This window comes from Homo sapiens, chromosome 6, assembly GCF_000001405.40.
Source record: "Homo sapiens chromosome 6, GRCh38.p14 Primary Assembly".
Classification (NCBI taxonomy): Eukaryota; Metazoa; Chordata; class Mammalia; order Primates; family Hominidae; genus Homo; species Homo sapiens.
The window spans coordinates 168115030-168141572 of NC_000006.12; the positions used below are offsets into that span (position 1 = coordinate 168115030).

General features: G+C 51.1%; 4 annotated features.

Moving 5' to 3' along the window:
* Positions 2320-2819: an enhancer, noted in NCBI's record as "H3K4me1 hESC enhancer chr6:168518029-168518528 (GRCh37/hg19 assembly coordinates)". NCBI's record gives its function as "activates a minimal SCP1, AML or CMV promoter by ChIP-STARR-seq in primed H9 embryonic stem cells {active_cell/tissue: H9 hESC(primed)}" and the evidence as "EXISTENCE:reporter gene assay evidence [ECO:0000049][PMID:30033119]".
* Positions 6016-6577: an enhancer, noted in NCBI's record as "H3K4me1 hESC enhancer chr6:168521725-168522286 (GRCh37/hg19 assembly coordinates)". NCBI's record gives its function as "activates a minimal SCP1, AML or CMV promoter by ChIP-STARR-seq in primed H9 embryonic stem cells {active_cell/tissue: H9 hESC(primed)}" and the evidence as "EXISTENCE:reporter gene assay evidence [ECO:0000049][PMID:30033119]".
* Positions 10010-10523: an enhancer, noted in NCBI's record as "H3K4me1 hESC enhancer chr6:168525719-168526232 (GRCh37/hg19 assembly coordinates)". NCBI's record gives its function as "activates a minimal SCP1, AML or CMV promoter by ChIP-STARR-seq in primed H9 embryonic stem cells {active_cell/tissue: H9 hESC(primed)}" and the evidence as "EXISTENCE:reporter gene assay evidence [ECO:0000049][PMID:30033119]".
* Positions 14116-14713: an enhancer, noted in NCBI's record as "H3K4me1 hESC enhancer chr6:168529825-168530422 (GRCh37/hg19 assembly coordinates)". NCBI's record gives its function as "activates a minimal SCP1, AML or CMV promoter by ChIP-STARR-seq in primed H9 embryonic stem cells {active_cell/tissue: H9 hESC(primed)}" and the evidence as "EXISTENCE:reporter gene assay evidence [ECO:0000049][PMID:30033119]".

A 26543-nucleotide genomic window follows, 5' to 3' on the forward strand; every position in this document is an offset into this window, starting at 1 on the left:
TTCCTGTTTGCCACCTTGTGATCCAGGAGACCAGGTCAGGAAAAGAGAGCGAGAGACAAAGACTGATGGGCAGCCTGCAGGGCCCATCCACCCATCTACCCACTCATCTATCCACTAATCTACCCATCCATGTATCCACCCGTCCACCCACCTACCATCCATCCACCCATCCATCCATCCATCCACCCATCCATCCATCCATCCACCCACCCACCTATTCACTCATCTACCCATCTAGGCACCCATCTATCCACCCACCCTTCCATCCACCCATCTGTCTACCCACCCACCGACCCATCCACCTATTCATCCATCCATCCATCCATCCATCCATCCATCCATCCATCCACCCACCCACCCATCCATCCACCCATCTGTCTACCCACCCACCGACCCATCCACCTATTCATCCATCCATCCATCCATCCATCCATCCATCCATCCATCCACCCACCCACCCATCCATGCATCCACCCATCCATCTATCCACCCATCCACCTATTCATCCATCCATCCATCCATCCATCCATCCATCCATCCATCCATCCATCTATTATATGTCATCTATCTACCTATCATATATAATCTATGCATCAATCTATCATGTGTCTTCTATTATCTCACCTACCTATTCATCTATCATATATCATCTATTCATCTAGTCACCTATCCATCTATCATATGTCATGTATCTATGCAATTATGTATCCTATGCCATTTTTTCATCTATATCATATGTCATTTATCATCTATCTCTTATATGTCATCTGTCTGTCTAACCATCTATAATATGCCATTTATCTATCTATCAATCATATGCCACCTGTCTATCATACACTGTTTTTAAAATCTATCTGTCTATCATATACCATCTGTCTATCATATGCCATCTGTCTATCATATACCATCTATTATATACCATCTGTCTATCGTATACCATCTGTCTATCATATGCCACCTATCATATACCATTTTAAAAATCTGTCTGTCATATACCATCTGTCTATCATATGCCATCTGTCTATCATACACCATCTGTCTATCATACGCCATGTGTCTATCATCTGTCTCTTTGTCTGGGAATTCATGTAGGATCTATCCCTTTGGATCTAACATAATCCACAGGATTCTGGAGTTCATGTGGGTCTCCAAATGTCTCTGAGGCTGAAGGGAAGGACAGGTGTGATTACCCCCACTGTTCAGGAGGTGTCAGAGCCAGGGGACCTGTGCTGCTAGTCTGGGTCATGGACGCCCCCACTCTTGTGAGGGAGAAAGTCGGGGTCTTCTGTCCAGTGTCCTCTTCCCTGTGGTCATGGAACATTTGCTCAAGCAGGCAGGGGCAGCACCTCCCTCCCAAGCCGGATGCATCTCTCTCAGGGAAGCCCAGACTTCACTCTTGCTACAAATGACCAAGTCCCTCTTGACCCAGACAGGGCTTCCACTGGAGGGATATCAGCCTCTCTCTTCTGGTGGGGGACCCACAGGGTCCTGACACTGGTCCTATCTTCAAGGGGGATACTGGTGGTGTCCCCAAGCACTGTGCTCCCTGGCAAGGCCAAGCCCGTGGCTTCAACGTCTGCCTCCTGGAGTCCAGGCCACTCGAGGAAGGCACTGTCTTGGACGTTCATCACCCACTGCGGGCAACCCAGGAGAAACCTGGGAGAGTGTCCCCCAACTGGGCCCAGCAGCCCACAGAGCTGAGAAGACAAGGCGTTGTTCATGGTCTCTGTCCACGCTGGGCCCGGCAGCTCGCAGAGCAGAGCTGAGAAGAGGAGGCATTGTTCATGGTCTCTGGCCACTGAGATGGTGGGACAGAGGTGGAGCAGGTGACTTTGCTGCCATTCCATGATGCTCAGAGCTCATGAATAGCCAGTCACACTTACTCCAAGCACGAATTCTGGTGGTTGTTCCGCAGTTTTCACTTTGTGGATGACAGAGCCAAGATTTGGGACTGGAGCTCACGGTGCCCAGAGATGCACAGCGGGATTTTCCCGCCACGCCATGCATTCTCCACAGGCCGAGAGTGTGCTGTGAAACCGCAAGGCTGAAACCACCTTCACGCTGGGAGCAAACGAAAGGACCCGAGGGCAAGGAATCTGATTGGTCCCCCAGTCAGATGTCAAAGGTCAGCTCTTCAGAGTGAGTCAGCCGTGAGCAGCAGCGGCTGATGGGCAGAGTCCACGAGTGAGCCCGGGTGCTTGTCAGTCCCTCCAAGGCACAGGAAATGCCCTGTTTTTCAAGTGTGCACATACACTAAGTTAGTAGGACAAGTTACATATTCCCACGTTGTTTTCCAGTGGCCTGTTTAGGGCTGGGCTTCACGTGTTCCCTGTGCTTTCCGCGTGCTGAGGAAGGCCTGCGTTTCCCTCCGTGGCTGTCAGCCTTGGATCTGATTGTGGTATGGGAGGGGCCGGCTGCCTGTGAGGACTCCACAGCATCCCCAGCTCCATCTGCGATGTGATAGGAGCTTAGGAGAGCTGCCGTGGGGCCAGAGGGCGCTGGGTTCCAGCCTGCCCAGCATGTCTAGCGATTATTGACAGTTTTGTGTCCTGTTTTCCCATGGATCCAGGACAGCAGAAGACAGAACCAGGTTCTCTTCCAGAGAGGCAGATTCAGCCAAGGGCTGGCCCCATCATAAGCAGGGCAGGGGGCAACTCCTCCACCACTGTCCCGACTCAGCCAGGCACCTGGGATTCCTGGGACCACAGACCATGCAGGGCAAGACAAGAAACTCCCAGCACATGGGAAGTCTTCTGAGGGCAGCAGTTGGAGCTAAAACATGTTTTATTCTGAGGTCGAGTAGAGTGATCTGGAAATTGAAATGAAGACAGTTTGAGAGTCTGAGTGACTGAAAATAAAATACAGATTGCCATTGAATAAAAAAATCACAAATTAAAAAGTGCATTTTAATCTAGGGTCACAAAGGTATGTTTTTCAAAAATAATCACTTTTTTATGGAATTATGGGATTTTGAGACAAGATTGTATCACATTGAGGTCCGAACAACTGAATTATCAGTGCCCTGTTACACCCAGAAATTAATTATATTTTAATTTAATTTTGCAAATTACCTGGAGCCACCAAGCTGGGTGGGCTCATGGCGCTCTCTGTTGGTCGCATGCAGAGCTGCCCCATGTGTTTTTTTTGACTCCTTTCTTTGGGTTGGTGTCCCTGTACCAAAATCTTCTTTTCCTCCTCTCCACAATTCACAGTGGAGTCATTTTCTGCCGGGCAATGGCATTCTCCTACTTGTCCACATTCCACCTCTTGTCATGCAGAATATCTGAGCCAAGAGAAAGGAAAATAGCTCTGAAAAGAAATAGCTACACTGGCAGAGTGAAGGTGGTTAAAAGCCTCTGAACCCTCGGCATGCCTGCGCCTGCTTGCGATTTTGGTGGCTTAGATGCCATATGAGCAGGCCTGCTTCTTTTCCTGGCCTGCAAAATAAATACGCACTTTGCTATCTCTATATTTTCTCATTGTAATACTATCATTGTTGTAACATCAGCTTCCACTTTAAATAATCTCATCGTGTATTAAATAGGTATCTGTAAATTAACCTAGGACTATGCTGTGGGCTGAATGTCTGTGTCCCACAAAATTCATATATTGAAATCTTCACCCTCAAGGGGATGGTATTAGGAAGTGGAGGCTTTGGGAGGGGATTCGTTCATGAGGCCAGAGCCCTCGTGAATGAGATGACTGCCCTTACGAAAGAGAACCCAGAGGGCTCCCCCATCCCTTCCACCCACACAAGGTTACAGCAAAAGGACAGGAAAAAAAGGAAAAGTCTAGGAAGCAACCCTCCCCAGACGCCAAATCTACTGACCCCTTGGTCTTGGACTTCCAGCCTCCAGCACTGTGAGAAATAAATCTCTGCTGTTTAAGCTGCCCAGTCCATGATTTTTTATTACAGCAGCCAACACAGACGAAGACAGACTGCACCCACAGCTTCACAGCAGCCCATGGGAACGTGTCTGGGGAGCCGCCTCTGACTCCCTTAGGCCTGTGGACTGGCACACTACTCCTGCACTGCACTGCCTTCCAAAGAGAGTCGCCAGCTTCGTGCTCACTTCACCCTTTGGCAACCCAGGAATGGCTCCCACCCCAGCTGAAACCTGCCCAGAAGACTCAGGTATGCTGTAGTGCAGTCTGCATTACCCACCGTCAGGGAATTGGCCTCTAATTAGAGCAGCTCTTTTGAGGCACAGACAGGTGGCTCCAACCAGAGATGGTAGGATAAGCCTGCCCACTGCCGTGGAAACCATCCATTGGACTGTTTCTCACCAGCAAAGCCAAGCACTGGGAAATGTACATGTGCCCTCTGATGGTCGTCTAGTGTTGTCTACCACGCATGTCACTTGTAGGTACCTTTATGTCCAACACTGATAGAGCTCTGCTTCTGGGTCCAGACATCTTCTTTGCTAATATTTTATTCTTTCTGGAAAGGTTCAGTAATGTTCTTATACCTCTGGTCAGTAAGTTTTCCCAGGAGCACAGTGTCTAACTGTAACCATCAGCTTTCATTTCAAAGCAGTATCATCACTAATCATCACCATCATCACCACCACCATCTTCAATATACCATCTTTACCACCATCATCTTCAACATACCATCATTACCACCATCATCTTCAACATACCATCATCACCACCATCTTCACTACTACCATCATTATCTTCACCACTGTCACCATTGACTTCAACATCACCCAACATCACCACCATCATCTTCAACATACCATCATCACCACCATCTTCACTATTACCATCATCATCTTCACCCCATCACCACTATCTTCAACATCACTATCATCACCATCATCTTCAAGATACCATCTTCACCACCATCTTCACTATCACCATTATCATCTTCACCACCATCACCATTATCTTCAACATCACCATCATCACCACCATGATCTTCAACATACCATCTTCACCACCATCTTCACTATTACTATCATTCACCATCACCATCATCATGATCATGATCATTACCATCACCATCATCTCCACCATCATCATCACCACCATCACCACTACCATTATCATCATCATTATTTTTATCAAAAGAAAGCTTATGAATCGTGGAGCTTGGATTTAAGCTTCAGTGGTGGCTTCCAGAGTGTACACTCTTCCTCACTGCACTCTCTTGTACCGCTAACTTTATCTGCCTCAGTTTCTCTATTTTTAAAATGGAGATAGGAACAGTGCCTCCCTACTGGAGGCTTTGTGCAGTTGAAGTGACACCGTGCATATAAAACGCCTAGCAGGATGGCTAATATGCACCCAGTCAGTGTTAGTCTGTGAGCCCCAGTGGTTTGTTTGAGAAACCCTCTATGGAAACAGTGTGACGTTGGCTCTTTACTCAAATTTAAACCTTTTATTTAATACTATAAATTCACTTATTAATAGAATTTTTGTTCTCTGAATCAGAAGACGTGTATTGTGGAACAGAAAGAGCACTGGCTGAGGAGTTAAGCATCCTGGGTTCTGAGCCCCAGGCCTCTTGTTCTGTGATTGGCAGGTGTGGTCCCAGGCCAGCAGCAACAGCACCACCCACGAAGGTACAATCAGAAATGTGAATTCTCAGGCCCCAGCCTGGATCCTGTGAATCAGGCACCTGGGTGTGGGCCCAGCAATGTGTGCTAGAACCAGCCCTCTTGGGGGCTCACTCTCTGAAGCTGGTCACGTCACTTAGCCTCTGTGGCCCTGCCTGTTCATCAGTCAAATGAGGGGTTTGGAGCAGATCAAGCAGGTCCTCCCCACCTCCCCGCTGCTGTTCAGATCCTGTCTGGAGCTGACTGTGACAGGGAGGGCAATGGGGTGGTGGGACTCAGCACACAACACAGCAGCTCTGCCTGAGGTGGTGGTGCTGAGTTCCTCTCCAGCCCCAGAGGCCGTGGGTGGCCATGACACTGTGGCCCTGCCTGAGGTGCTGGTGCTGGGTTCCCCTCCAGCCCAGAGGCCGTGGGTGGCCAGGGGAGCCCTGGGGTGCCTCTGAGTGCCCCTGCCCTCAGCTCCGGTGACAGACGCCGCCTTTGTATTTCCAAAGTACTGGGATGATTCGATTCTGCCACGGAAACTGAAAGAAATGAGTAAGAGGAGAGAGAGATGTAAGAATGGAAGCCAGCCAGGAAGGAGAGGAGCATCTGTGTGCTGTGAAGGGAGGCCGGGCAGATTCTGCACCAGGCCTCAGGTCGCCAGATAACCTGTGACCCGTTCAGCACCAACTGTGGACACCGTTCATTCTGGCCCACTTGTGTTCTGCCTAAGAAATGCAAATAAAATCACAGCTCTCCCACAAAGCCCTCCCTGCAGGTGGGTGTCTCTGTCCTGGAGCCTGCAGAGAGAGACCAGCCCCACCTCCTGCCTGTCTCACCATGGGTGTCTTCATCTGTGGGCACCCTTCTGTGGTGACCTTTGGGGCGGCTGGCCTGTGGTGAGCCTGGGCTTGCCGCTGCATCAGGGTGGTTTCCCATCCGTTGGAAACTGAAGCTTCTTAGCCCCTGACAGCGGACAGGCCATGCAGTTCACCATGAGGGGAACAGAACTGTCCCGCACCCGCACCCCCTTCCTTCCTAGATGGAGAAGCCTGACGGTGAGATTCTGCAGCCGAAAGATGAAACCACCTGGGGCCAAGGTTGCTACAAAAATGAGTTTCTCCAATTTCACTTGTCCCCACAGTAGATTTTGGTTGAACAAGAAATAAGCTTGTAATGATTCAAGCCCCTGAGAATTTGTGGTCATTTTTAATGGCCTCATAAGCCTACCCCATCTGGATTAATAGACAGGAAGGGTTGGAGAGAGGAAGGGGCAGGGTAGGTAGAAAAGGGAGAGGGGCAGGAGGGAAGGAGAGAAAGAGGTAGGGGGAGGGAGAGGGGGAGAGAGGGAGAAGGAGTGGGGAGACGGGAGAAGAGAGAGAGATTCTCTGTTAACTGCCTCAAGGAAAGGGATCAATGCATATGCAAAGCCGAGTGTGCTGCAGAGGATTCCAACAGGTCTCAGTTTCATTAGCGACCAACTGAGGCCATGATTTTAACCCAGTCTTTGGAAATTAAACCATCTCTTAGAGGAGAAGCATTTGCGTCAAGCATCGCCGAACCTCCCAGCAGGGATTCACACAGGGTTTACGTTGCCAGCTGGGTCTGGGTCCCGCGGCGGCACTGCCACCTGTCTCAGGAGGGCTTCGGTTCAAGTTGGTGCTGTCGCTTTGAAGGCCACCCATGGCTTCATGGACGTCAAGAGGGTTGGGCCAGGCTGGAGAGAGGTTGAGGCTGGGAGAGAATCACAAGAATCTCCCACACCTCCTTGTCTGGGAGACTTTGTGCTTAGACTCCATATTCCGCTTATAGGATTTTCTAAGCCTCGCGTGGAAACACCATGTCACACTATGGAAGTGGCATTAAGCTGCAGTCAGGGTCCTGGGGCCTAGGTTCTGGTTCTAACCTCTCGTGGCCACTCACTGGCACACTCCGTACCCAGGATGACCACTGTCGTGGTGTGCCCTCCACGAGCTCACCTCTGTCCCCTTCTCTGAGGTCATTCTGATTTGAAACGTTCTTGATGGGCGGGAGCTGGTTGGATGATTTGAACACTTAATGCTGCACCCTGTGCTGTCCCTCTTTGTCCAGAGACGCATTTGACACAGCAGCCAGGATCCCCCTTGGCCGCTGCTTATGGCTGAGTCCTGACTCTGTGGCCTTTTCTGTGCTTGGGGGTGACTCTTACCCTTTCTCAGTCCGAGGGTGATGGCTGATCTGATCACTGATTGCATTGCCAGCTGGGAGCCCTAGAGACACACCAGCTTCCATGGCCGTGTTTGGGACGGCCCCCAGTTCTTCAACAGCTGACATTGTTTGGCTCTGTGTCCCCACCCAAATCTCATGCTGAATTGTAATCCCCATGTGTTGTGGGAGAGACCTGGTGGGAGGTGATTGGTTCATGGGGGCAGTTTCCCCCATGCTCTTCTTGCGATAGTGAGTTCTCATGAGATCTGGTTGTTTGAAAGGGGATAGCACCCCTTTGCCCTCTTCCCTGCTGCCATGTGAAGATGTGCCTGCTTCCCCTTCACCTTCCACCATGATTGTAAGTTTCCTGAGGCCTCCGCAGCCATGCCTCCTGTACAGCCTATAGAACAGTGAGTCAATTAAACCTCTTTTCTTTATAGATTACCCAGTCTCAGGTAGTTCTTCATAGCAGTGTGAGAATGGACTCATATCACAGCGGACAGCACCCCGGTGTTCTCACCCCTCTGACATCATGGTGCACTCAGGGAATGAAATGAAGACCAGACTCCTGCTGGCTCAGGGTCACCCATCCACTCAGTCCCAATGCACAGCAGCATGGGGGAGCGATCACTAAGTTCATTTACCCCTTAGGGGGAGTGAATTAACCTCACCCAAGCTTTCATCTTAGCCTGATTCACTCAAGGGATTAAACCCATCTGGGGATTATAGACTGGGGCTTGTGAGTCCTCTTAGGTGTTACAAACTGTCTTTTCACGCCTTCAAATTGGGAGGATTTTTATCACTGATGAGTTTTGCCACTGAAAGTGTGGTCTCAGGACTGGCAACCTCAGCTTCCCTGGGAGCTGCTTAGAAATGCAGACTCTCAGGTCCACCCCAGACCCAGTCAGGATCATCCTAACAAGCCCCCGCTCCTGGGGCTCCTATCAGGTTCAGTGTGGGAGGTGCTTCTCTGGATGGTGTTTCTCCAACTTCAGCCTTCAAGAGGGTCACCTGCTGGGCCTGTTAAAGTGCAGATGACTAGGCCCACCCCAGAGTGGCTGATTCGGGAGGTCAGAGGGCTGGACGGGGCCTGGGAATTTGCCTTTCTGACGAGCTTCCAGGTGAGGCTGATCTGCTGGGTTTGGATCACACTTAGAGATCCACTATTCTAGCAGGCCTCCAACTTTTTGATCTCAGGATCCCTTTGTCCTCTTCAAATGTATCAGGGGCTCCAGAGAGCTTTTGCTTATGGGCTACAGCCACTTATATTTGTGGGTTTTACCCACTTACTTATACTGATACATAGATGTATTTATATATGGGATGATATGTACATTCTATTCTCACCAGGTATTGAGCATTTGAGGCAATTTACCTGAGCCTGTTGACTTTAAAGATAAGGAGGCTGTTGATTTTCAGAGCACTACGTGTAAACGCTGATGGTTGTCTCAGGCATTTTTTCCTAATCTGATGGAGTTTTTCTAGAAAATTGTATTTCCAGAAGAAACACAACAGGAGAGTGAGCTGGTTATTGACACTTTGCCCCATGCTCTCCATGGTGTGGTTTTCAATTATGCAAATGAACCCAGAGGTTTGGCAATGTGCAGCTGCTTTGCATAAAAATGCAGATAAACAAATAAGCCTACCCCAGCTTACGCACACACATTCCGCCAGCGAGGATCGTATTGCCACCTTCCTCACCCTCAGAATCCACACGGGCCCCAAACAGAAAAGAACCAGTTTGTATAAGGTGATTATTTTAACAGGATTAAAAAAGAATTTAATGTTTGAATAGGTAATATATTCATGATTCAAAAATAAAAATGATATTAATGGATACACATTGTGAAACCCCCCTCACCTGCCCCCCCATCCCTAGAATAACCGCATTTATTAGTTTCTTCTGAACCTTCCAGGGTGATTTATACAGGTATAAGGAAACACAAACATATACTCTTGTTGTCGGCATTAACACAATCTTAGCGGTATGTTTGTGTCAGTGCATTGTCTGTATCTTTGTGAATTTGATGGGCATGTGGCTCATTTCCACCTTGAGCTGATGTAAATGATACTGCAGTGATTCACCTGAGTCATACATTGTTCACATGGTACAAAGATGACAGTGAGAGCATGGGACCCACGAACTGCAGAAGCAAAGGGGTGGCTTTCCACCGGTCTGTCTCCATGCATGGGTTTCCGATGTTCAAATGGCCCCGGGATAAACAATGCCTCCCATCCCTCACCAAACATATTTGGGGGTACCCTTCCCTCACCCAGGGGACGGAGTGATCTGGTGGAACTTCTACTACCCACCTCAGACGCAGGCCAGGAGTCCATGGATGACCCCGACCATCCACCCTGCCTCTCCTGGCTTGGCGAAGCCGCATGTGAGTCCTCAGGCCTCCTTGGCTGTGGCTGGAGCTGGCGGGAGGAGCATTTGGAGGGGCAGGGTGGCCAAACGTGACACTGGGGTATTCAGAGGAGACCATGACTGGGATTCCTACTTTATAGAAGGGGAGTTCATTAATTCGTGAGGGAAAGAAAGTGAACAAGAGGTTCAGGTTATTTGGACGGAGGGGGTCACTGTCCCAGGCCCTGACGGCTCTCGGCGCCCAGCACCCCCCACCACTATTCACGCCTCCCCTTTCTCTTCCCTGAGCAGGGGCTGCGGCTCCCCGGGGGAGAGGACATAGGTCCTGGCTTACTGGCCCGATTGTCTCTGGTTCTCACATCCCGAAAGCCTTGAAAAGGGAAAGAGGCTCTTTTAGGAGCATCCCAGAACCCCACAGTTCTCTGGTGGAGTGGTGACACACTGCACACATTCACAGAGAGAATCGTGAGCGCCGGGGCAGGTGCGAGGTAGGGAGAGGTCACAGCCAGACAGCGCTTGCCTCTCAGGACCTCCTAACCCTGTGTTTTTTCTGAGATAGGAGTTTCCTATCCAGCCCCCCGGGGTGAGCGTGGCCACACCTTCATGGTTCATTGAAAGCAAAGGCGGGACTGACCGGAAGATTCCAGAGGCACACACAGGGCACAGGAGGCTTGACTGAGAAAAACTCGAGAAAGATGCGAAGTCCCAGGTCGGAGGGCATCAAAGTGCACGTGCCAGTCACCGTGACCAGACGGCTCACCGAAATCCCTGGGCCCAGGAGTCCTCACGCTTCCTGGAATCTGAAGGTGGGTGGCAGAGCCAGGCCAGGGCTGCAGAGCCTTCTCGACTTTGTGTCTGCAGCTCAATCCTGGCCCTGGGAGGCCCCTCTAGGAAGGACGCAGCTCTGAACTCACGATGAGTAGTGGGCTTGGCTCAGGAGGAAAGGGAGGGAATTCGCCAGTGGAGAATTCTTGGCATGACTTTTCTTTTAACTTTCTGCTCGTGTGGCGAAATGTACATCGCTTTGCCATGTCGACCGTTTTATGTGTGCGGCTCAGTGGCATTAAGTACATTCACAGTGTGGCGTGGCCCTCACCGCCATCTCTTTCCAGGACGTTTTCGTCAGCCTTAATAGGAGCTCCATCCCCATGGATCTGACTCCTGCCCCTCCTGCAGCCCTGGGAACTTCTGTTCTATTTTCCATCTCTAGGAATCTGACTCTTCCAGGTGCCTGTGTGAGTGGAACTACACAGTGTTTGTTCTTTTGTGTCTGGCTTGTTTCATTCAGCATAGAATGGCTTTTATCAAAAACATGGAAAACAGCGAGAGTTGAGGAGGATGTGGAGAAGTTGGTGACCTCACACATTGTTGATGGGAGCAGAAAATGGAGCTGCCACTGTCAAACAGCTTGGCAACACCTCAGAATTAAGTATACAGTTACCATATGATCCAGTAATTCCCCTCCTAGGTGTGCACCCCAAACAATGGAAAATAGAGGTGCAGAGGCTTGCACCCCGTGTTCACAGCAGCACCATTCACAACAGCCGACAGGTGGGAGCGAGCCGAGCATCCAAATGGAGGTGCAGACAGATGCTTGCACCCCGTGTTCACAGCAGCACCATTCACAGCAGCCGAAAGGTGGGAGCGACCCGAGCGTCCAACAGGGGAACAGATGAGCCAAGTGTGATGCACACGCAGCGGCCTGTTATCCAGGCAGAAAACGCCATGACGTCCTGAATCCGGCTGCAGCAAGGCTGGCTCCTGGCATGGCTTCTGAGGAGCTGCATTGGGAGTGACCTGTCTCACCTGGGAGACGGGTGTGTTGCTCTGTTCCGGAAGGCACTGGCTCTAAGCCCCCTGGCCCACCTTGTGCAGTTAGCTCTGCACAGATGCAGGAGGCCTGCACCGCCCACCCCCAGGAGGCTCCAGGGAGATGGCCTGTGTGGTTTTGCTCCCTAACTCCCTCGCTTCGGGTGTGAGTGCCAGTGGAGGTCTGAGAACTTTCAAGGTGAGCAAAGAGGACCCATTCCTACAGCAGCTAGCTCTCAGATGGCGTAAGTGGGGGAGCTGGGTGGTCAATGGCATGCTCTGGAATGTTCCGGCCTGGGAGAGCACTCTGAGGGATGAGGGATAGGCAGTGAGCGATGATACCTCTTAAAGGGGGCTCCTCTTTGGTGGGGCCTCATCTGCTCCCCTGTTTGCTCCCATTTTAGGTGGAGGAAGGTCTAGGGACTCCCCAGCTGATGCAGGCCGGGTGCTAGTCTGCAGGGTTTCAGAACTCACAAGGAAGCGTGTCTCCAAGGGCTTGTTTGACGTTAGGGCCTCCAGCAAAGCTACAATTTAAATTGCAAGTTTAAAAACACCTCCTGCCAAGGTGCATAGGCAGCTGCCCGTCACTCTAGACGGCTGGCTTGCTTCCCTGGAGCACAAGTGTGGGCCTGGGTGGAGATTAAAATGTGCCTTCAACAAATGCCAACGCTGGCTCTGGGCTACACGAGTGGGTGAAGACAGGGACATAGCACCCTGTGCACCACACTCATCAGGGTCAATACGGCACAGCCAGGCCTCCAGCAAAGACAGCCATGCAGTGTGCATGCATGGGACCATCACAGACTCACAGGCAACATTCCCCCTGGCCCAATGGCAGGGAGCTTGGACCTCCTTGCGGCTGCTTGGCCCTGGGCTGGTGTCTCGCCTCTGGCTTCTTCTAGGTGTGAGAAGTGACCTCCCTCTGTAATTTCTTCATCTATGAAATGGCTCCTCCAGAAGGTTGATTAAAAGATGCAGTGGTGGCTGCACAGCTGCGGTCAACCCATCGGCTCTCTCGTCAGCAGTTTCTTTCCGGGGTGCCTCCTGGGCATTTTGACACAATGGGATTTTCATTTGTCATAAAACCTTAGTCCCTAAAAACACAGGGAGGCCCTCAGAGGATTGGAAATGTCAGCAAGGCCACATCGTACAGCTGATGTGCAGTGACCATGCCCGGGGCCTCACAGTGGGAGAGGGCACTTCCCATGGTGACAAAAGCAAAGGGTCCCCAGGGATGGCTAGAGGGGCCCTGGGCACACGCCATCCATGCAGACTCCGTGTGGAGCCTGGGGATCCCGGCCTTGGCGGTGCTGGGGGGCTCTTTTGATCCCTTTATTCCCAGAGACAGCTGCCTGGTGTCTGAGAGCCCGGAAGAAGGCAGAGGGTGACTGGAAGACCAGCCAGAAGCACTAGATGAAACCGAGGGGTGTGGCGGGAACAGGAGGTTCTCGAGGAGCGTGAGCTCCCATTAGGACGCCTGCAAGAGCCGAAGTCTCAGAACCATCATCCCCAGCAGTGACCCTGCCTCTGGCCTCCAAGCGCCCGGCTGAGCCCGTCTGCTGGAGAAGGGACGCTCCTCTAAGCAGCAGCCCAGGGGCATCCCCGGCTTGGGATTCACAGGCGCTTTACCCCCAGGGTGGGGCAAAATGGGGAAACTCTCCACAGAGAGGGTGGCATGGGGGGCTGAGTCCGGGGGAATCTAGGCCCCCTCCCTGGTCCCACTTGCTCTGAGATGAAAATGCAGGAATAGTAGGTGGGTGGTTTTCCAGGTGCAATGTGAGTGCAGAGGCTGCTGGAACAAGCTTTGCCTGCAGCAGATGTCAGGCCTAGGGAAGCTGGTGTTTGCCACTCAGCCCATGCCCCATTTATAATCCTCGCTTCTCAGAGAGAAACGCAGGAGGACAGTGTGGGAGGACGGTGCATATTGACGAGCAGCAGTGGGAACAAAGGGGAGGAGAAGCAGGGTTGGAGCACAGCTGCTGAGCGCGAGTGCTGGTGGTCTAGGCTGGCGGCCGGCGGCGGTGTGCTCCGAGCCTGTCCAGCTGAGCCCTGTCCAGCTGAGCCCTGTCCAGCTGAGCCGTCTCCCGCTTGGCGCCCCCAGGCAGTCAGACTTCCCACACCTGAAGGAAACTAGGTGGAAGCGACTTGGCCTCTCCGGCCCCGCCTAGGCCTCGGAGGTCAGGTGGCCTCACCTCCCCTGCGGGCACCGGCCAGCTGCTAAGGCCTGTCCACGAGGAGAGCGGGGTGTGGGACACAGACTTCGCCTCTCAGTGGGAAGCGTGTTCCGACTCTGCCACGTGCCTCTTACTTTAGAAAAGTGAATCCATCATTGTTCCAGTTACCTTGGGCTGCACTCTAACCGCCACCAAGTGCCACGGCTTCAACACGGTTCATTAATTGCCAGCGTGTGTGTGGCTGGTCTGGCCACAGCGGCCGGTTTTCGCTCGAGGTCCTTCATGTGGTTGCCGTCAGATGGTCAGATGGCGGCCGGGGCCGGGGCTGGGGTCGCTGGACACTTGACCCAGCTGGAGGCCTACGGGGAGGCCTTGGTTGGAGTGTCTGAGGCCTCAGCTGGGCCCCTGCCTCCGCGCGCCTGACCAGCACTTTCTCCTCCTTTGCCTGGACGTCCTCACGCCTGGTGGTTTCCGCACATGGGCTCCCCCGAAGACAGCGTTCCAGAGGCCGGGCAGGGCCTCTCATGTCTTCATCTCCAAAGCTATTTTTGCTGCATTCTTTTTGTCAAAAAGCCAAATGAGGGGGGTGGCACAAGGGCACCGATTCCACAGAGCGGGGGCACTGAGGGCCGGCCACCACGGGGGTCAGGGGTGGCTGAGGGCCGGCCACCACGCAGGTCAGCTTTACAATCCAACCGTTAGTGGTCATCAGTTATTTGTGATGCGTGGTTAAGTGTCGCAGGAGTTGAAAGAACAGCTACCCTGGAAAATACCGAGGAGCAAATTCCTGGGCTTCATTTCCAGGTGGCCCCAGCTCTGGCTGAGGAAGCTGATCGTCGAGGCGGTGCCCCTGTCTGCCTCTGATGGAGAGAAGGGGTCTCTGTCTCTCTCTCTCTCTGAGAGTGAAGGAGAGCTCGCCCAGGCACCACCAGCAGGCTGCGGGCAGGGTCCTTCTCTCCCCAGAGACAGGTGCGAAGAGACTGTCTCTCCCTTTCCTCTTGAACGTCAGGCTTTGATTGATGACTTTAACCTGGAGTTCTGAGGAGCAGGGGTTGGCCACTCTCCTTGATGGAGGCCTCTGGGTGTCTGACGCAGTCCCCGTGCTGAGCTCTGGTCTCTGCTCCCTCCCTGCGTCGATGATGCCAAAAGTCCCAGAGCCAGGACAGGCAGCCAGGCCCTGGCTGGTCTGACTCCAGCTCTCTGGCTGCTGCCCCCTCACACCATGCACGAACCTGACCCAGGCAGGCATGCCTGGGCTGACCAATGAGATCGGATGGGACGCATGTGAGGGTTTGCCCCAGAAACTTGCGAGGCCAGAGACCCAGGAGATGGCCTCTCCCAAAGCACCTGGCTCAGGAAATGTGGACATATTGGCGGCTGAGTGTGGGGGGCACACGGTCGGCCACGAGAAGACCACTGGTTGGCAACCCTGACAGCATTGACGCCAGGGGCCGTCCCGGCTGGGACCATCTGGTGACGTGGCTGCGATCAGCCTTCCCTGAAGGAAACCATCCACCGGCACCTGCCAAGGCCTGTGAGGTGGGGGTATGTACAGCCCCCAGACCCTGGCATTTCTTCCCAGTTCTTATCTGGCCATCTGTGTGCTCACAGCAGTTAGCGACAAGGGCCATGATTAACTGGGCTCCACAGCAGGCTCAGGTGTTTCAACTTCAAAGACTTCAAAGACCCGAAGCAATTAACCCCCAGGTCAGCATCTGAGCTGGGGGAGAGGCAGGCGGGGGCCTGTCCTGCCTGTGCTGGGGCAGCAGGGAATTGGCGGGAACTTCTGCACGTTGGGCCTCACACTGCAGCTTGGAGCCTCCCCAGGGCTTCCTACCGTCTTTCATTTATTCATCAGGCAGTGAGTGAGCACCTGTAATGCTCCCCTGTGCTGGGGAAGTGAAGGTGATTCCCTCAGGGTCCCGTCCCGTCCTGTGGGGAGTTCATCTCCTCAGCAGCAGCACGGTGCTGGAGGAGCTCCAGGGCGCAGGGGAGGTGCGGAGCAGCGGTGGGAGCTAGCAGGGCTGTGCCTGTGAGAAGAGCAGCACCTGACCGGGTGCCAGCAGCTGTGCCATGCTCCCTATAGACATAGCATCATGCCTTGTCCGTGGGAGATATGCACCCTTGTCTAACCATAGCCCCACCCTCCTCAAAGGAGACCTGCTGAGATGTTGTGGCTGGAGGGAGCACAGGAGGCAGCTCTCACAGGAGGCCAGAGCCCAGCTCAGGACCTGTGTCCTGGCTCCAAAGCTCATCTCCAGGTCGACCCCATGTGCCTTTCACCCAATCTTCCCAGTTGCTCCTACAGCACCCTCCCTAACCCCCACCGTCTCACACCCCTGGGCCTGTCCCTGCCACTTCTTTTTCTTCACTGCCCCTCCTGTGAGCAATGAACTCCTACACATCCTTTAAAACCCAGCCCAAACATCCCCTTCTGTGAGCCTTCCTGCCCTGCTTCTCCACCTGTGCTCCGGGCCCATCATGCTGCCTGGGAGCTGCTCTGCTGATTGCCTGCCTCCTGTGATCGTAAGCTCCCGGGTCAGGACCGAGGTCTCACACTGTGCCCGGCTCGTACTCGACGCTCCCGCCACCATTTCACAGCAAAGGCGTTTAAATGGAAAGGAGGCTCATGGAAGTGGCTCACGGAGTGCAGGCATCAGGGCAGAGCGGGGAGGAGCTCTGGGTCTCCAGGTGGAGGCGAAGCTTGGTTCCTTCTGCAAGCAGGAGGGTGGGATCTTCTGGGGCAGCTGAGACAGGTGTGTTTTGGGGAGGAGCCGATGGTCAGCAAGTGGGAAGGTAACCAGAGGTCACATAGATGTGGACAGAGAGGCTTCTGCTGTAATGAGAAGGTCACTGTGACCTTGATAGCAGCGGGTTCAGGTGGGCAGGGGGCTGAGGCCAGGAGTGGGTTGGGGAAGAGTTTGGAGGAGAGAAGTTAGGAGATTCCTGTGTCCGAGGAAGGGATAGTTGTCTGCCCTGTCTCTCTGCCTGCCTTGCTCCTGCTGCTCTCCTCCCTGCCTGCTAAGCTCCGGCCGCACTGGCCTCTGTCTGGCTCTCCCATCCCCCCACCTGGAAAGCCTTCTTCCTGCCTCCTTCTCAGCCAGCTGATCTGAGTCCCCAGGTCTGCAGTTCAGGTCACCTGGCTGCTGGAGGAGGGCCCACTCAGTGTCCTTGACCCTGCATCCTGTCTCCTAGAACTGACCACACCTGGAGTTACCTGTGGGCTGTCTCGCCTTCCCCAGTGGTGGGCACCAGGGCTGTTCTGCTCACGGTAACCCCATTGCCAAAGCTGCCTGGCATACAGCAGGCACTCAGTAAAGATGCATGAGGGATACAGGATTCTGTAGCAGGAGTTGGCTGTTGGTGGCTCAGCTTCTTTTCCTGTAAGATGCAAACTCGTTTCCTGTGTCTTCCTGGGAATTTCTCCTTTCAAGGCTGGAAGGGAACAGGGACCTTCACCTCAAGCTGCGCTGGGATCCTAAGGTTTGACCTCAGTGCTTTTGCATCACAGAGGGCGACTTTGCACCTTCCGCCTGGAACTGCTGTCCCCACTCGGGGCTGTAGGCACTCCCCAGAATCGGGCTTCCTGTTGAGGAGAAACAGCACGTCTGTGTTTTCCAGTCGTGGCTGATCCCCGTAAGATCAGCGCGTCCAGCCCATGGGCTGCACCGTTTCATCCTGCTTTGCGGCTGTTTCTCAAACTTCAACGCCGGGACTCAGGGCTTGGGAACAAGCTGGGAGGATTTGCTGAAAGCTGCACAGTATGAATCACCCCTTGCTTGCCTCAGAGACATTGGAGCCGCCTGGTGATAAGACGACTGGTGGGATGCGAGGCGATCGGACGCCTGCCCGGGCCGCAGGAGCAATGCGGCGCACATCAGGGTGCCGGTCACGTCGCCTGTCTGGCGGCCCCTGTGCCCGGTCCTGTTCGTCGAATCAACTTTGCCATCTGGTGGCTGTTCGGTGCTTCTCCACTTACTGGGTTGTCCCAGAACCATTGTCTGATGCCTGAGATTCCAGGCGAGCTGGGGTGCCTTTCTGCCTTGATACGGACAGTAACTCAGGAAAAGGGACTTTAGAAGAATTAATTAAAACATTTAAAATATAACCGCTCTGATTTGCAATTGGTCTCAAAGATAAACTCTGAACGTGCCTTGTAAATACTGCATGGTCACTGAAAAAGAAGGAGTTAAAGAAGCAGCTGTGGGGTCAGATGGAGCTCACTGGCAGGGCCGTCAATCCGGCGCGGCTCACAGACTGCAGGCCGCCATCCAGCAGCTGAGTCAGGAAAGCGCAGCCCGCTGGGCCTGCCGGCAGCACCACCGTCCGGAGCTGGCTAGGAAGCCAAAGGCTCAGGGCCCCCCTGACCCCCTGGATAAGCCTGCAGATGCCTACACGCAACTAAGAGAGGGTCAGGTCTGCAGGCCAAGCTGTTCTTCTGACTCAGATACCCAGACCTGGAGGCAGCGCGGGAAGAAGGCTGTGGAACCCAAGCTGCAGTTTCATTTTCCGCAGGAAGAGTAATTTTCCAATAATAATTGCCTGGGTGACATAGCAAGACCCTGTGTCAAAAAAAAAAAAAAAAAAAAAAAAAAAGGAACCAAATCTCAACTGTGTAGAACAGCTTCTGCTGGCAAACTCTAACCTGCACACTCTCATCTGATAGTGAATACTGGGAAAGCCTGTCTAGGGTCCAGTGGACGTTATTGCTGGGGACACGTGCTCATGTCCTCAGGCAGAGCGGATGAACCTGCAATGGTGACTCTCTGTTTCACATGTTCACTGTGCTGTCGGAGCTGTCCCCTGCTGACCTGCTGGTTCTCAGCTCTGCTTCCTGCACCAGCATCCGTGAAGGAGTCCACTGCATGTTCCTCCTGGCTACTCAGAGCTGGAGTCCCTGAAGGCATGGCCTCCTCCCGGTGTCACAGCCCTGCTAGCTGCCCCTGGGTCCATGAAGCCCTTGCTGGCCGCTGAGTATCACGTGCCTGGAGAACTCAGTGACACGTTGAGGTCTCAGACCAGATGCCCCTGAACCAGTAGGCATTGGGTGGAAATCCAGCCCCCATCTGTCCTCTGGACACATGGCTGGGATGCTAAGCAAAGAGGGCTGAAGGTGACACAAAGTCCCATCCTAGAAAATGCCCTGAACCCTGGAAAGTGTGGTGGAGCACAGCCTCAGGTACCTCTCTAGGGTGTCACAGGGGCCGAGCCCCTCAACCGGACACTCTCCTCTCTTCCTGCACACTCTGGACAGAGGCCAATGTGCAGCTGTGTCCCCACGAGGCTCTGGGACGTGGGATGTGGACCAAGTGAGGGGTGGACACTGCAGCTGCTGGTACGTAGACCGAGTGAGGGATGCATATTGCAGCCACTGGGTTGAGGCCACAGGGATTGGAGAAGTGTCTGCACCTGCAGGGCTGATCTGCACGTGTTCTCTCCACACTTCCCAGGACCCAGGAGCACCCAGGGGAGGGCTTTGCAGCTGCTGGGGATAGGGCAGGTGCATTTCTAATGATTGCTGTTCACACGATCGTGTTTGTTCCTAAACACTGGCAAAGCCTGGAGAAGTTTGGGTTAGGCGAGAACCCAAATTGGTTTACAGACTGCTTTTAACCAGAGGCCGGCCGTGGCCTTGGTGCGAGGTCCTGCAGCTGTGCTCCCCCCTGCCAGAAGCAGTCCCTGCAAGAATGCTCACATCCTCCATTCCTCACCTCCCGATGAGGCAAGTGAAATCCCTACAGAAAGGAGAGCAGGGGAGGCAGGAGGGTGTGCAGGAGGGTGTGCAGGAGGGTGTGCATGCTGGCGCAGAAGAGGAGCCCTGTGGCGGGTGATTGGAAGGAGGTGCTCCAGCGTGGACGTCCAGTCGTCAGATGCAGCCACTTGGTGGTCAGGCAGGCCCCATCAGTCCCTGTGATGACCGTGCAGCCCCCTGCTGGGCCTGATCTCAGGGCTGGAGCCTGAGAGTCCCTGCTTCTCTGACTTTGGGCCAGAACTGTGAGTGGGTCAAGCCCGCCCAGCCTGGGTGTGTATGTACAGGACTCGGGGGTGCAGGGGTGAATGGGTCAAGCCCGCCCAGCCTGGGTGTATGTACGGGACTCAGGGGTGCAGGGGTGAGTGGGTCAAGCCCGCCCAGCCTGGGTGTATGTACAGGACTCGGGGATGCAGGGGTGGGAGTCATACAGGGTTGGGTGTGAGGGAAGTGAAGTAAGTGAAGTAAGTGATGTGTATGTCTCCATCCATTCCCACTCCTAATACATTAGACTGGGTAATTTTTAAACAACAGAAATTGATTTCTCACAGTTCTGGATGCTGAGAAGTCCGGGATCAAGGTGCCAGCAGGTTCAGTGTGGGGTGAGGGCTCTTCTTTGCTTCCGAGCTGGCACCTGTGGTTGTGTCCTGACATCAGAGTGGGCGGAGGGGCAGAGGGGGGCGAACTCTCTCCCTCAGGCCCTCCTACGAGGGCACGGATCCCACCCATGAGGGCAGAGCCCCCATGACCTAATCCCCTTTGGGGGGGTCCATCTTCTTTTTTTATTTTTTAGATGGAATCTCGCTCTGTCACCCAGGCTGGAGTGCAGTGGTGTGATCTCGGCTCACTGCAAGCTCCGCCTCCCAGGTTCACGCCATTCTCCTGCCTCAGCCTCCCGAGTAGCTGGGACTACAGGCACCCGCCACCAGGCCCAGCTAATTTTTTTTGTATTTTTAGTAGAGACAGGGTTTCACCGTGTTATCCAGGATGGTCTTGATCTTCTGACCTCATGATCCACCCACCTCGGCCTCCCAAAGTGCTGGGATGGCAGGCGTGAGCCACCGCGCCCAGCCTGGGGGGTCCATCTTCTAATACCATCATCTTGGGGCTTAAGTTCCAACATCTACATTTTGGAGGGACACATACACTCAACGCATAGCAGTGTGTGAGCAAGGAAGACCCAACCTTCCCTTGAAATCCCTGTGGTGTTACAACTTTATTTTAGGGGAGGTTTATGACCCTGGAGAGCAGGTGGCAGGCCCTGAGTACAGCTTGGCGATTGGGACTGAGTGAGTGACGCACTTCTCCTTCACAGACCAGTCTCTCCCACACAAGGCCACATCCTGGGCACCACTCAAGTCAGCACGTCAAAGAGACACCTGTACTCCCCCGTTCACCACAGCACCACTCACAAAGGCCAAGACACGAAATCAACCCAAATGTCCAACACTGGAGGAGTGGGCAGAGATAATGTGGTGGATATGTATAGACAAGAGAATACTACTCAGCCGTAAAAAGACTCCACTCCTGTCATCTGAAGCAGCACGATGAACAAGAAGGACATTGCATCATGTGAAATAATCTAGGTACAGAAAGACAAATACCACATGATCTGACTCACATGCGCAAGCTAAAAAGTTGTTCTCATGGAAGTGGAGAGTAGAAGAGTGGTTGCCAGAGCATGGGGAAGGTTGCAGGGAGTGGGGACGGTGGTGGGGAGGGTTGCAGGGAGTGGGGACGGTGGTGGGGAGGGTTGCAGGGAGTGGGGACGGTGGTGGGGAGGGTTGCAGGGAGTGGGGACGGTGGTGGGGAGGGTTGCAGGGAGTGGGGATGGTGAGAGATAGAAGAGTGGTTACCAGAGTGTGGGGAGGGTTGTAGGGAGTGGGGGTGGTGAGAGATTAGCAAGGGCATAGAACTACAGTTAGGAGGAATAAGTTCTGATGTCACGTGACGGGATGGCTAAAGTTAACAACAGTGTACATTTCAAAATAGAAGAGAGGGTTTTGAATGTTCTCATCATAAAGAAATGATACATGTTTAAGATAATGGGTATGCTAATTACCCTGATTTGATCATTGTACAATGTATACATGTACCAAAATACCATGTTATGTCCTATAAATATGCAAAATTATTACGTCAGTTATCACAAAAATTAAAAAATTGTGTATCTCTCAATCTAAATACAGTCAGGAGTCACTTCATAATGGGGATATGCTCTGAGAAATGAATCATTAGGCAATTTTGTCTTTGTGGGAAGACCATGGAGTGCGCTTACACAAACCTGGGAGGCCCAGCCCCCCTCTATACACCTAGGCTGTCCGGTACAGCCCATTGCTCCCAGGCCACATACTTGTGCAGGGTGTGGCTGCTCAACACTGTAGACAACTGTAACACAACGGTAAGTACTTGTGTATCTAAACGCATCTGAACATAGGAAAGGGACCGTAAAATGCGGTGTATCATCTTACGGGACCGCCATTTTAAATGCAGTCCATACGCCACCAAAACAGGAGGTGGCACCTGACTGTATTGCTTTAACAATTTCACTGACAATTCCATTGCTACTGCTTCAACAGAGCACCGTTTCTCTATGATAATTAGCAAAATCCATCTAGAAATACAATGGTTCCATAAATGCTGTCTAATTTGTCGTTACTCTCAATGGAACACAGATTGTGTGAACATCTTAATTACAGCAACTGAATTAGTATTTGTTGAAAGAAAGGCAAGAAAGAGTATAGAATAAATATATAATTATTATGTTTATCTGCCCCCATGTTTATCCAAATATCACCAACTGCTCAACAAAATATTCAGATTTGTGCTATAATAACTAAATTTAGTCATTTTTGATATTTTATCAACATTTTAATTATATGAAACCTATATCTTTAAATACTTTTTAAAAATGTTGTTATTATAAAGGTTCATCTGTCAAGATTTTAAAAGGAGAGAGTGCGGCTCATTTGCTTTTCTTTTCATAACCTCTAACTCTTTACAACTGTGGCTTGTGACCTTACGGAAACCTTGTCTGAGACACGCCCCTCCTAACCCTTCATGCAGCTGGACTGAAACTTTCATGACAGAGCTTGGGCTGCTTACTCCCTTGTAACACATATTTCGATGTCTTCCCAACTTCAGGATTGCACCTGAGCTCTGTGATGTGCCCGTTTGCTGGTCGGGCACCTGAGCTCTGTGATGTGCCCATCTGCTTCTCTAAAAGACATGGACTTTTTCTTGTACAAACAAATTGCTATGATCACACCTGGTAACATTATCAATTCTTTTATATCTAGTAATTCGTCCATAATCAACCTTTTATTTTCTCTTCTCTTTTCTTTTTTTTCTTTTTGAGACAGAGTGTCACTCTGTTGCCAAGGGTGGGGTGCAGTGGCACGACCTCAGCTCACTGCAACCTCTACCTCCCAGCCTCAAGCAATTCTCCTGCCTCACCCTCCCAAGCCGCTGGGATTACAGGTATCACTATGCCCAGCTATTTTTGTATTTTTGGTAGAGTCTAAGTTTCGCCATGTTGCCCAGGCTGGTCTCAAACTCCTGAGTCAAGTGATCCACTCGCCTTGGCTTTCCAAAGTGCTAGGATTACAGGTGTGAGCCACTGTGCCCGGCCCATAATATATCTTTTTTGATGAACTAAAAGTGTCTTTTAACAATTGTATTCAGTTTTTAAACTTGGTGCTGAGAAAGAACAAAAGCAGCTGGAAGCACCCAGGAGCTGCCCCGGAGCTCCCAGCTGAACCTGCTGCTTTGGTGGATGGGCAGAGGCTCACAGAAACCCATGTGAGGCCCGGCCACTCGGCAACCCACAGACATCAAATGCTCCTCTCTGATTAAATGAGTGCTGGCTCCAGCCTTACCCTTACTCCACTCTGCCCTCCTTAGGAGGAGGTTCACTGGCCCCCCCAACTCATAGACTTGCCTCCACTTCCTGACAGCACCTAACCTAGCGGGGAAGGGCCTCATCTTCCTGAGACCCTCCCCAAATTACTCCAGCAAAGTCCCATCCTGTGACAGGTTATTTCTAACACCCTTTCACTGAGACACTCCCACCCCCAACCAGTGAGAGGTCACCCTTCCTACAGGAAGTAATAAACTCATTTTTCAACCACAGTGTGTTCCACACATCTTTGGCTGAAAACTGTCTGGATGTTGACAGCCCTCAGGTGCATTAACGTGAAATCTTACAAGTCTCTTTTCCTCTCGAGCTGCCCTACCCTTTTCTCCTTTTTTTATGCCATGCATGTGTTGATAACTGGTCAATTGTACTGTGGAAGTTCTCACTTTCTGGGTCTTTCTGTTTGCTCCCTTTTTTGGGGTCATTCAGCTTGTTCCTCTATCCCCCATTTCTGTAACTCCGATTTCTGGAAGTTAGCACTAAAGGCTTGATGAGACTCGGGCTGAACATTTTGACAAGAACGCCTTCTGTTGGGGCTGTGATCTTCCCCTGTGCCAGGGTGGAAGCACCCTATGTTGGGTGGGCCCACTCTTAGGGACGCTGGGGCTGGCACTGGGCTCTTGGGACAGCTGGAGCTCTCTGCTATGAGGCTCTGTGTCAACCTATTGTCCAGTGGTTTTATCTATAGATGAATGAATATTTTTAAAATTAGAAGTGGAAATATTTTACTTCTGTTATTCCTTCAACATCGTTATTAGTTGGTATTAATTTTCAAAAAAGAAATAGTGTCATCATCCAGGGTTATTTGGTTATGTTGAAGTACAATTTGTGCAGGAAAGGCAGGAAAATCACTTCTTACTCTATTTGCCAATTTCTGATAATAATCTTGCTTATTTATTACACCTTTGTTTATTTTCTCTTTCTTTGCTAGAGAGGAGCTCCAAGTGGCAGATATGACTGCTCGGCTCACTGGTCTATCCCAAATGCTGAGAACACATGGGAGAGATTGCTGCACGACAGAGTGAATTCTTCTGAGGCATCCAGGTAGCTACATGGCCTCAAAGCTCGGAATAATTCTCAAGTCTCATATTCTCCATTATTTTCTTTCAAACATTGGGTTCTCTCCTGGAATATAGGACACTTGTTTTTATTTTTTATTTTTTAATGATTGTGGGTACATGGTAGGTATATATATTTATGGGTTACGTGAAATATTTTGATACAGGCATGCAATGTGTAATAATCACATCAGGGTAAATGAGGGTATCCATTCTCTCAAGCATTTATCCTTTGTATTACAAACAATCCAATTATACTCCTTTAATTATTTTTAAATGTACAATTAAATTATTATTGACTATAGTCACTTGTTGTGCTAGCAAATACTAGGCCTTATTCACTCTTCCTATTTTTTGTACCAATTAACCATCCCAACTCCCCCTGCCCCACCACCCCACCCTCTCACTACTGTTCTCAGCCTCTGGTAACCATCCTTCTACTCTCCATGAGTTCAATTGCTTCAGTTTTTAGCTCCCACAGATAAGTGGAAACAGGTGAAGTTTGTGTTTCTGTGCCTGGCTTATTTCACTTAAAAATGACTTGCAGTTCCATCCATTGTTGCAAATGACAGGATCTCATTCTTTTTTAAGGCTGAATAGTACTCCATAGTGTATATGTACCATGTTTTCTTTATTCATTCATTTGCTGATGGACAACTTGATTACTTCTCAATGTTGGCTATTGTGAATAGTGCTGCCATAAACATGGGAGCTGAGATATCTTTTCGATATGCGGATTTCCTTTGTTTTGGGTATTTCCTTTGTTTTGGGTATATACCTAGGAGTGGGACTGCTGGATCCTATGGCAGCTCTATTTTTAGTTTTTTGAGGCAATTCCAAATTATTCTCCAAAGTAGTTGTACTAATTTACTTTCCCACCAACAGTGAAAAAGGGTTCAATTTTCTTCACATCCTCATCAGCATTTGTTATTGCCTGTCTTTTGGATAAAAGCCATTTTAACTGGGGTGAGATGGTATCTCATTGTAGTTTTACTGCATTTCTCTGATGATCAATGATGTTGATTGAGCACCTTTTGATATGCCTGTTTGTCATTCATATGTCTTCTTTTCTATGTCTACTCAGATCTTTAGCCCACTTTTTAATAGAATTTTTAGATTATTTCCTATAGAGTTGTTTGAACTCCTTATACATTCTGGCTATTAATCCCTTATCAGGTGGGTAGTTTGAAAATCTTTTCTTCCATTCTGTGGGTTGTCTCTCTGTTGATTGTTTCCTTTGCTGCATAAAAGCTTTTTAACTTGATGTGATCCCATTTGTCCATTTTTGCTTTGGTTACCCTTGCTGTGGGGTATTACTCAAGAATTTTTTGCCCAGACCAATGTCCTGGAGAATTTCCCCAAGGTTTTATTTTAGTAATTTCATCGTTTGAGGTCTTAGATTTAAGCCTTTAATTCATTTTGATTTTTTTTTTTTGCATATGGTGAGAGATAGGGGTCTAGTTTCATTCTTCTGCATGTGGATATCCAGTTTTCCCAGCACCAATTATTGAAGAGAATGTCTTTTCTCCAATGTATGTTCTTGGCACCTTTGTCAAAAATGAGTTCCTTGTAGGTGTGTGGATTTGTTTCTGGGTTCTGTATTCTTTTCTGATGGTCTATGTATCTATTTTTATGCCAGTACCATTCTGATTACCACAGTCCTATCATATAATTTGAAGTCAGGTAATGTAATTCCTTCAGTTTTGTTCTTTTTACTTAGGATAGCTCAGGCT